Source organism: Homo sapiens, chromosome 22 (genome assembly GCF_000001405.40).
Source record: "Homo sapiens chromosome 22, GRCh38.p14 Primary Assembly".
NCBI lineage: Eukaryota > Metazoa > Chordata > Mammalia > Primates > Hominidae > Homo > Homo sapiens.
This window is the reverse complement of record NC_000022.11, coordinates 29,827,941-29,839,035: the sequence shown is the minus strand read 5'-3', so window position 1 is coordinate 29,839,035 and position 11,095 is coordinate 29,827,941. Positions and strand designations below refer to the sequence as shown.

The window sequence follows — 11,095 nt, the reverse complement described above, 5'->3', positions numbered from 1 at the left end:
GGAATGTGTGTTCTTAACAAGTTTTCTGTGATGATTCTGATCCATAGTCAGGCTTAGGAACCACTAAACCTACATTACCTGAGACATTCTGTAGAAAAAATTGCATCCTTCTCTTAGGATAGCTATACTTGTAACTTCCTTAAACAAAACAGAACAAAACTGTATTGCATACATACAGAAAAATGCACAAATCTTAAGCGTACAATTTGATGAATTTTCCAAAGTGAACACATCTACATGGCTACCACCGAGATGAAGACAGGGGGTGACCCCAGCCTCACTTGTGGCCCCTCCCAGCCCACAGCCCCAGAGGAAACCACCAATTTTAACACCATCACTACTCATGAGTTCTGTCTGTTCTAGAATTTCCCGTAAATGAAATCGCAGTCTGTACTTGTACATCTGCTTAACATTATGTTCGTGCTTTTGACTTGTTAAAATTTCTCTTCTGGATTAAATATGTAAAACGGTGACTAAGGAGGTCGGGCAGAAGGTGGAAGCCTGGGATTCCGAGACGTCCTCTCAGGTGCCATACTTGGATTTCCCGAGAGGTGTAATCACACAGCCCGCCCTCAGCTGACCTATTCTCTGCTTAAGCAGGAAGGGAGATAGGAGGGGAAGGGGGCGTGGCTACAGACGCCGAGTGTGGGGCGGAGTCTTAAGAAGAGAGGCGCAACCCGGGTCCGGCTTCCCGGCGGTAGTTTGCTCGGCTCTGGGGGCGGGGCCAGGCCGAGACTTCCTGTCTGCTCCTGCGGAATCGCAGTTTGACCCCGGAAGTGCGGGCGCTCAGGGAGCTGTCACCGTGGTCGGCGGCGGCGGCGGCGGCGGCGGCACAGAGCCGGTGGTGGAGCCGCCGAGGTGAGTGCGTGGCTGGTCCCTGCCAGATGCAGGGCAAGGGACCCCGGAGGAGCCGCGGCTATGCCTTGGGCAGCCTTGGCTCTCCCATCCTCTGGCCTCCATTGCGGGGCCCACGCTTACGCTACCTGAGGGGTTGTGAGCCGCCTCTCGAGACTTGGCCGCCAGGGTCAGGAGCCACGGGTTCGAAGTTCGGCCCCAGAGTGGCGTTGGACCAGCCACGATCCCCCCACGTCCTCACACCCGGGGCTTCAGTTTCCTCAGGGTTCATTCATTCGTTCAGCAAATATTTGTGGAGTGCTTCCTATGTGCCAGACACAGATCTAGACATTGGGGATACAAAGAAAGCAAGACAGACAAGGCTTCTGCCCTCATGGAGCTTACAGTCTAGTGGGAGGAGATGGTCAACGACAAGCAAATGCACAAGGTCATTAAAGCTATGACAGTAACTGGGAGAGTGGATACTATAGGCAGAGCCATCAGAAGGTCTCTGAGGAGAGTAGTATTTAATTGAGAGACTAGAGGAATGATGACAAAGAGGCTGAGGGAGCAGTAGCCCCGGGGATGCTCCCAGGCCATATTGCAATTGGGTGCTTGTAGGGAGCTCCCCCTCCCTTTCTTAGCTTTTGGCTTTTGCTGTCCTGCCTGGCAGGGGAATACAGTGGTGGGCACAGACATAGTCATGATTATTGTTTGTCCTTTTGGAGCTCAAAGTTCAGATTGTCCAGTTAATTTATTTTTTCCCCCCAAGACGGGGTCTTGCTCTGTCGCCCAGGCTGGAGTGCAGTGGCGTGATCTCGTCCCACTGCAACCTCCGCCTCCCGGGTTCAAGCGATTCTCCTGCCTCAGCCTCCTGAGTAGCTAGGATTACAGGCATGCACCACCACGCCCTGCTAATTTTTTTTTTTTTTTTCGGTAGAGACGGGGTTTCACCTTGCTAGCCAGGATGGTCTCGATCTCCTGGCCTCGTGATCCGCCCGCCTTGGCCTCCCAAAGCGCTGGGATTACAGGCGTGAGCCATCGCGCCCAGCCCTGCCTACTTAATTTGTACCCGTGCTTTAGACAAAAACTCAGGTCTTCCTTGACATCACTTCTTCCTCAAGCCAGGTCTCTCTTTTAAATGCTGCCACAGCTTCATGAGCCTTATCTACATAGCTACATCATGGTATTGGTTTTTATTTGTTTGTATGGCTAATTGGAAAAGTATCTGTCTTTCCCCATTATGACTGTAAGCTCTGTGAAGGGCAGGAGCAGGTTTGTTATTTGCCCACCTTAATATTCTCTGGGCATCAGTGCCTGCCACATAATAGGTGTTCAAAAATATTTGAATGGCCGGGCAGTGACTCATGCCTGTAATCCCAGCATTTTGGGAAGCCAAGGCGGGCGGATCACCTGAGGTCAGGAGTTCCAGACCAGCCTGGCCAGCATGGCAAAACCCTCTCTCTACTAAAAATACAAAAATTAGCCAGGCGTATGCCTGTATTCCCAGCTACTCGGGAGGCTGAGGCAGGAGAATCTCTTGAACCCGGGAGACAGAGGTGGCAGTGAGCCGAGATCGTTCCTCTGCACTCTAGCCTGGGTGACAGAGTGAGACTCCATCTCAAAAAAAAAGGAATGAATGAAATGATTAACGTACTGTTTGCTCTCTCGTGGTTTATTAAAGGTCTTTTCTGCCACCAGGTTATCATCATCTCTTTCTGGTCATGTCTGTCTCATACTTAAATGACTCCTCACTGCCTTCAGGTGAAATACTAAAATCTTTAGTGTAGCATTGAGGCTTTTTTTTTTTTTTTTTTTTTTTGAGATGGAGTCTCGCTCTGTCGCCCAGGCTGGAGTGCAATGGCGTGATCTCGGCTCACTGCAACCTTCGCCTCCCGGGTTCAAGCTATTTTGAGGCTCTTTTTAAACTGGTCCTGTCTTCCCTATCCAGCTTCTCTTCTCTCTTCACTTCTGTCATCCCCTATCTGACCTGTGTTTTCAGTAACACCAAATGTCTCCCTCTTCCTTCAAAGCCACACTTTTTAGACAGGGTCTCACTGTGTCCCCTAGGCTGGAGTTCAGTGACGTATCATGGCTCATTGCAACCTCAATCTCCTGGGCTCAAGCAATTCTCCTTCCGTGGCTTCCCAAAGTGCTGATTGCAGGCGGAAGCCACCTCACCCGACCCAAAGCCACACATTTTAAGACTCTGAGCCTTTGTTCATGCTTGCTCTCTGCTTGGAATGTCACCTTTTCCCCCATCCTTCAACATCCAGGTTATAGATCACCTTCTTTGTAATATCCTTCCTTTCTCTACTATACTGTAGTTTTGGACATTTCCTGTTACAGCTTTAATGCCAAATCATAGTCAGTTATATGCCTAGGACCCAGATTGTATTCAGGAATTGTTTGCTGAATAAACCAGGAAGCCCAAAGTGTCTTGCCTCTGGTTGGGACTTGAATAATAACAACAACTAAACTTTATTGAGTGCTTATTATGTGCCAGGTATTGGGTTGAACACTTCACATTGATTACTTCTCATAGCAACCCTACGAGTTTATGTACTATTACAATTCTGGTATTACAGAAGAGGCAATCAAAAGTTAGAGAGGTTAGGGAACTGTCTCAAGGTCTCAACATGGATAGGAAAAGGTGGAGCCAGGACTTGAATCCAGGCTGTAGGACTGTAGCGCTCTCTCCCTACCACCACACCAGGCTAGCCCTGAATTGCCCTGGCAGGCAATGGTTTGTAGGAGTGAATTTCTTTTAAAGAAAAAAAATTTTTTTTTTTTTTTTAAATTTTGGGACAGGGTCTTGCTCTGTCACCTAGGATGGAGTGCAGTGGTGCCATCATGGCTTACTGCAGCCTTGATCTCCTGGGCTCAAGTGATCCTTCCGCCTCAGCCTCCTAAGTAGCTGGGACTACAGGAGTGCACCACCACACCTGACTAATTTTTGAATTTTTTGTAGAGATGGGGGTCTCACTATGTTGCTTAGGCTGGTCTCAAACTCCTGGCTTCGAGCAATCCTCCTGCCTTGGCTTCCCAAGTGCTGGGATTACAGGCATGAGCCACTGCACCTGGCCGTGAATTTCTTCTGAAAGCAAATGCTGTCTCTACCTGTCTAGGCCTGGACTGTGGGGCCTAGAGGTTAAAGGGTGGAGACTTGCCTCCTCCTCCTGACTTTTTCTCCACCCTGTGTCTCACACCCAACACTCCCACAGCCATCTTCAGCGGGCGAGCCTGGAAAGAACTGGGCCTGTCAGTCATTTAGACTTCTGCACTGGTTTGCAGAGCAGTGGTGTTTCCAGCTCACTTTCCAGCATGGCTAGAGGGTTAGAAAAAAAAATTATTATTATTATTTTTTAACATATTCGGCACAAGAGCCCCAGGTGCCCTAGCAAAAGACCTGGGCTTCGGTTTCAGCTTGGCCAATAATGTATTTACCTTGAGCAAATCAGGGCCCCTCTTTGGACATCTGAACATGGTAATCCTTGTTGTCCTTAATTGGGTTGTTGTGAGAGGCTAGTAAGACAGTAACTTGATTAGAAATACGTGCAGCAGAGGATATTATCTATGCTTTGCAAAGCTGAAAGATGAAAACTTACCTAAGCCCTTTATTACTTTCTTTGCCTTGTGATTTTTTTTCAGGCCACCTCGTGTATGCAGAGACCATGTGTGTCTGATCTGCTGGGATCCTAGAGCTGGAACAGGTGTCAAGGACTAGGCAGACTGGTCCTCTCTTATTACTCCTTCTAGGGTGGGGATCTTCACAGTCTTTATAACAGGCCAGAACCAAGGTTCCTTGGGTACCAGGCTGTTTCCACCTCCTTGCCTTTGCTCTGCTGTTTCCTCTGCCTGGGGCACCCTTCTTCCCTGGCCAGTCTCTATTATCAAGACTACTCAGACTCTCCTCTAGAAGTGCTTTGACTTTCACTCCACCCCTTCACCCCGTCTCACCCCTAAGTTTAACTAAACTAGACACAGTATAGTGAATAGTTAAGAACCAGCCTGCTTCACCACCCACTAACTGTGAGACCTTGGGCAAGTTTCTTATTTTCTGTGAGCCTCTGTTTTGTCACTGATAAAATGAGGATAATAATAGAACTAACCTTAGACTTTTTGTGAGCATTAATACATGTAAAGCCAGTTAACAGGGCAAGTAAGTTAATGCTGAGAAGAGCACTTAGAGGCCAGGCGCTCACACCTATAATCCCAGCACTTTGGGAAGCCAAGATGGGCGTATTGCTTGAGCTTGGGAGTTTGAAACCAGCCTGGGCAACATGGTGAAACCCCGTCTCTATTTAAAAAAAAAAAAAAAAGAAAAAGAAAAGCACTTAGAGGAGCTCTTCATATCATTAAGCCTGGCCCAATATCTGAGATATGACACAGCTGGTAGCTCATGTCCCCCATGCTCCTCTGCTTGTCTGTGAAGGCTCAAGAGGTGACAGTTTAATCACCCCAGCCTCTGTCTCTCTTCATGTTGTCATTGAGTCTGTTCTAGCCTTTTATGGCATGTTTTTTGAGGGGCCTAATACACTTCTATTCCGTGATTCATTTAACACGTATGTCCCTTCTGTGGGTCAGGCCAAGTGATATTGTGAAAAGAACACTGGACAGCAAGACAGGAGACCTTGGATCTGCCACTCACTGACTGTGAGGTCAGTTTGTGCCTTTGTAGAAAGGAGCTTGCACTGTCAGTTTTCTATGAATTATCTTTTTCCCTGGTCCTTCTCTTTTTCCACGTCCTTCTTCCCTTCTTCCATGTCCTTCTTCCCTTCTTCTCATGTCGTTCTATTCTTCCACGTACTTCTTCCCTGAAGCCTAGAAAGGTTGCAAAATCTTAACATCCTCCACAAGTGAGGAAAGGCCCATGGCTTCAACCCTCAAAAGACTTAAAATCTGGCTAGAGTTTTAAAAGGAGTGTCCTCATATGTAGTCATTCTTCAAACATTTGGTGAGGCCACCTCTGTACCAATCCTGTGCTCACAGAAAAGATAGCAAGAGGAGAGCCCTGGGCATTGTCTTCATAGAGCTCACAGGCTACTGAGCTCACAGAGCTGGAGCCATAATAAAGGGAATCTACATATTTTTAGCCAGTACTTCTCAAAGTGGGTGGAAACAGGCTGGGCACAGAGGCTCACACCTGTGAGCGCTTTGGGAGGTTGAGGCAGCACTTTGGGAGGCCAAGACAGGAGGATCATTTGAGCCCAGGAGTTTGAGACCAGCCCGAGTGATGTAGTAAGAACTCATCTATCAAAAAATAAAACCTGTCTCTACAAAAAATTAAAAAATTAGCTGGCCGTAGTGGTGCATGCCTGTAGTCCCAGCTACTCAGGAGGCTGAGGTGGGAGGATTGCTTTAGCTCAAGAGTTAGAGGCCACAGTGAGCTATGATCTCACCACTTCACTGGACAACAGAGTAAGACTCTGTCTCTTTAAAAAAAAAAAAAGCTGGGCATGGTGGTGTGTGCTTGCAGTCCCAGCTACTGGGGAGGCTGAGGCAGGAGAATCACTTGAACCAGGGAGGCGGAGGTTGCAGTGAGCTGAGATAGCGCCACTGCACTTCAGCCTGGTGACAGATCGAGACTCCATCTCAAAAAAAAAAAAAAAAAGTGGGTGGAAATATATCAGAAGTCATCTGGGGAAGTATTTCTTCTACAATTGAGAACTGCTTTATGCAAAAAAAGTCACTTTGGCTGGGTTAGTAGGTGCATGAACCAGGTCCTGAACCACAACAGGAGCCTCCTAAGGCGAGAGGTTGAAGCTTCTCTTCTGACTCTGGGATCAGCCCCAGAGCAGGCCCTGCCCCCAGGAGTCTGTGTGTCTGCTCTCTTCTTCCCATCCATATTCCTTTCAGGAGGGTCACGCAGCACAATGCCAGCTCTGCCCCTGGACCAACTCCAGATCACCCACAAGGACCCGAAGACAGGAAAGCTGAGGACTTCACCAGCGCTGGTGAGCCGGTCACTTAAGGCCATTCAGCCTGATATTGTCAGTCTTGCAATTTCAGGAGCAAAAAGTAAATTCCGTCTTTATCTGTTCCAAGAATGACACGAGGGCCATGGTCGGTGATTCAGTAGCTGAGACACTACTAGTCTCTTCCAGGCCCAGAGTAGGAATTTCCTTCCGAGCAGCAACTTGAATTTGCATAGGATTTTCCATGTCACCACCCTGCACCTTCCCCCCAAAGCATTTAATTTCAAATCAGTCCAATGGCAGTTCTAATTCAGCCTGGATCGGGCTAGAAATGGATCCAGCCCAAAGCTGGGTTTGGGGATTTGACCCTGTGGAGGGTGTTCAGGTTTCAGGTAGCGTTTTCAGAGCTATCTAAGCTGCTATCCGTATTTTGGTGGGAACGCTGATTTCAGAGGTTGGGCCGTCTTTTATCTCAACTGAGATAGGAAGCACCACATACAAACACCCCGGCAGAGCTAGTGAGACTGAAAAATAAGGAGGCTATGAACATGTCGATTACCAGCTGCAGAGAGAGATTAAAGCCATGGAGAGGTGCCAGGCTGCTGAAGAAGGAGATAGATGTAGCCCTGGAGTTCCTATACCCACTTGTTGTTTTCCCAAGAATTTGAGCTCACTTGAACAAGGTGGGAGGAAGTGTTTTCTAGGGGTTTGAGTAAAGTCGTGGGAAACAGGAACTTGGTGTTTTATTTCCTGCCTTCTAGATGGCTTCTTATTACTTCTTAAATAGTCTCTAATAATAGTACCTGACATTTATACAGTACTTGCCCTGTGCCAGATCATTCTAAACACTTCACCCGGATTATCTCATTTAGTCCACATCACAGCCCTACAAATAGACATTTTGATTGTCTCCATTTTACAGATGAGGAAACTGAGAGTTCAGAGTCACAGAATTAGGAAATCAGGGGAGTCAGGATGGGAGCCTAGCCAGGCAGACCCTAGGACACATATCCTTAAATTCTTTCTGCTATAAAGCCTCTCATTTTCTTTTTATAACCTTTTTATGTGTGGGAGATATTTATCAGAAAATCTGGAAGTGTTCTTTTCAGTATGATAGCCACCCAATAGGTGGTCATTCACCACATGTAGCTATTAAGCACTTGTAATGTGAATAGTGAGTGTGGACTGAGGAACTAGATTTTTAATTTAATTGTAATGCTTTTAAATTAAAATAGCCCCATGTGGTGAGTGCCAGCACAGATATAGAGCAGTTATATTATTGCAGAAAGTTCTGATGGAAACACTGATGGAGACTGGCTCCTTGGGTGGTCGAGTATGATTTTCCACCTCAGTCCTCCCCACATACCGAATGAACATGTGGGTTGTTAGACTGCAGGCATTGTGAGAGCGATGGCCTGGTCCTTGCCCTTTACTCCTGATTTCCAGTGCCAGGCGCACAGGAGGCTCTCAGAAAACATTTGGTACATGAGTCAGGGACTGCAGCCAGGCCATGTGCCAGGTGCTGGAGCTATAAAGAGAAAAGACATGGTCTCTGCCCTTGAAGAGCCCACGACCTAAGAGAAAGACAGACCAGTAGCTTCTCTAGTGTGATCAGGGTTGTGACAGAAGGAAGTCTAGGCTGTTCCATGAGTGCAGAGCCGGGGCCGCCGATCCAGACCAGTGGGGTGTGTAGGGGCAGGGAGGCTTTGGCCTGGTGGGAGGGTACGTGCAGCCCAGGAGGGCTTCCTGAAGGAAAGGGCTTCTGAACTGGGTATTGAAGGGCAACTTAACACTAGCTGGGCAGAGCAACAGGAGAAGGCTGGACCTGGTAGGACAACCTTAGTATGCAGTTCTGGAGTCTTGAGAGATCCTGACTCTTACACTAACCACAAGTCACTTGAGGTGGCAACAGTATAGCAGAGTTAGCAAGTACAGGCTTCGTGTTCATTTCACACATATTTGAATATTTGTCTTTGTGTCTTTGGGCAAGTTATTGAACCTCTCTAAGCCTCAAATCCAAAAGCGATAATAATAGGACCAGCTTTGCAGGGTGGTTGTGGGGATTAAATGAGATGCCTGTGAATGAGCACTGTGCCTGGAACATAGTAAGCACTCAATAAATTGTTATTACAATGGTGATGACAGCAGGGACAACAACAGCAGCACTAAATTGGGGGTATGGTGGGAAGGCAGATGAGTTGAGGGAGACAGCTGCCTGATCGAAGAGGGGTCTTGCTGGCAGACTGAAGAGTGTTACTCTGAAGGCCACGGGCAGCTCCTGAAAGATTGTACTAAGATATGTGTCCACCCTATATTTGTCCCTTTAGTCTTGGCTTGGGGCATGATCTCTAGCCAAAGGGTAGTTACCACACCACCTTTTCAGGGTAATTGGTAGAGCTAATGTTGGTTGAGGATCTATTTGAATAGCACATACTTGAAGACCCAAAAGAAATAGTCTTGTGGCCAGGCCCGGTAGCTCACGCCTGTAATCCCAGCACTTTGGGAGGCTGAGGCAGGTAGATCACTTGAGCCCAGGAGTTCAAGACCAGCTCGGGCAACATGGCAAAACCATTTTTTTTTTTTCCCAGACAGAGTCTTGCTCTGTCGCCTAGGCTGGAGTGCAGTGGCGCGATCTCGGCTCACTGCAACCTCCGCCTCCCGGGTTCAAGTGATTCTTCTGCATCAGCCTCCTGAGTAGCTGGGACCAGCTAATTTTTGTGTTTTTAGCAGAGACGGGGTTTCACCATGTTGGCCAGGCTAGTCTCGAACTCCTGACCTTGTGATCCGCCCGCCTTGGCCTCCTAAAGCACTGGGATTACAGGCGTGAGCCACCACGTCCAGTCAGCCTCCATTCATTTCTTTGTCCAGCCAGCAGATCTGTACAGAAAGTCTGCTCAATGCCAGGTGGTGTTCTATAGACTCGGAATGCTGGGTGAGCAAAGCTCAGACTGCCTCCAGACACCTACAAGCTAGTGGGGGAGACAGCTGGGAAGACCAGTCCTCCCCTTTTATACAGCTTTATTCAGGCATTGTTGAAGGACAATAAACTGCACATATTTAAAATATACAATTTGCCAACACCTATGAAAAGAAAGGGAATTTTTTTTTTGAGGTGGAGTCTAACCTGTTGCCCAGGCTGGGGTGCAGTGGCATGATCTCTGCTCACTGCAACCTCCGCCTCCCAGGTGCAAGTGATTCTCCTGCCTCAGCCTCCCGAGTAGCTGGGACTATAGGTGCGTGCCACTACACCTGGCTAAGTTTTGTATTTTTGATAAGAGATGGGATTTCACAGTGTTGGCCAGGCTGGTCTCAAACTCCTGGCCTCAAGTGATGGGCCTGACTTGGCCTCCGAAAGTGCTGGGATTACAGGCATGAGCCACTGTACCCAGCCAACATTTTAAAAATTAAAACGTAAAATATGCAATTTGATTGGTTTTTCCATCTGTATGCATGCATGAAACTATCATCATCAATGAGCATTTCTACCACCCCTGAAAGTTTTCTTGTGCCTCTCTGCAATCCATGCCTTCCTCCCACCCTTTCCCCATCCAAACCACTGATCTGAAAGCACTTTTAATGCTGTTCAAGTGGTATAGAGAGGTGAGCACAGAATGCAGGTGCTGAGGGAGAGCTTAGATGAGCTCCTAATCCAGCTGGGATGGGAGTCAGGGAGGCTTCCTGGAAGAGGTGAGATTGGAACTGGGGTCAGAAGGACAATCAGTGAGACCAGGATGGCACACAGATACCATAGGTCATTTAATAGGTCTGCAGTGTAAGCTTTGGCTCAAATCCTGCCTCAGTTGCCTCTTTAATCCCATGACCTTGGGAAAGTTCCTGAAACTTACTGTTTGATTCCTCCTCTAAAATGGGATGAATACTATGTCTCTTTTAAATAGTTTTTGTAGATTAAAAAAATAGGGGCTGTGGGTTGTGCCTGCTTAGTGGCTGGCACAGGGCAGGTCCACAATGAGTGGCAGCTTTCATTTGCACCATTCCAGCATTCACCAAATCTGTCTCCCACCGCCCAGTGCAATCTGTGCCCTTTTGTTATGACCCATGTTTATGCCTCCATAAAAATGTTTCTTCCATTTGAAGTCCTTATCCTCGAATGCTTGGAGCCTTGGAGGAAGTCTGCTTGCTCTGGGAAGCCGTCCCTTATCCTCCAGGTGCTATTAATTCCCTTCTGCATTTCCACAGTCCCTCTGCCAGGTTTGAGCTGTCACTTCCTTTGTTTTGTGCTCACTTGGTGATTTAGATGTCCATCTTCCCCCTGTGGGATTGTAGGGAAAGTAGAATCTCAGGGGTGTGTGTGTGTGTGTGTGTGTGTGTGTGTGTCAGAAGAA

At 47.8% G+C, this 11,095-nt stretch overlaps 1 protein-coding gene across 57 annotated transcripts in view, besides 1 other annotated feature; it reads left to right on the top strand.

The window, feature by feature from the left end:
* Positions 430 to 489: an enhancer, noted in NCBI's record as "active region_18822". NCBI's record gives its function as "activates an Ori minimal core promoter by ATAC-STARR-seq in GM12878 lymphoblastoid cells {active_cell/tissue: GM12878}" and the evidence as "EXISTENCE:reporter gene assay evidence [ECO:0000049][PMID:35858748]".
* The window catches only part of ASCC2 (activating signal cointegrator 1 complex subunit 2), a 49,664-nt gene continuing 39,330 nt past the window's right edge, over positions 762 to 11,095 (top strand). For 13 of the 57 annotated variants that reach the window (NM_001369950.1, NM_001242906.2, NM_001369930.1 and 10 more), the window contains exons 1-2: positions 762 to 858; positions 6,694 to 6,791. Coding sequence is in view for 33 of the 57 variants with exons in the window: in NM_001242906.2 (NP_001229835.1) it covers positions 6,711 to 6,791 (81 nt within the window). In the remaining 24 variants the exon portion in view is untranslated. The other 44 variants (NM_001369942.1, NM_001369947.1, NM_001369936.1 and 41 more) reach the window with 9 other exon arrangements.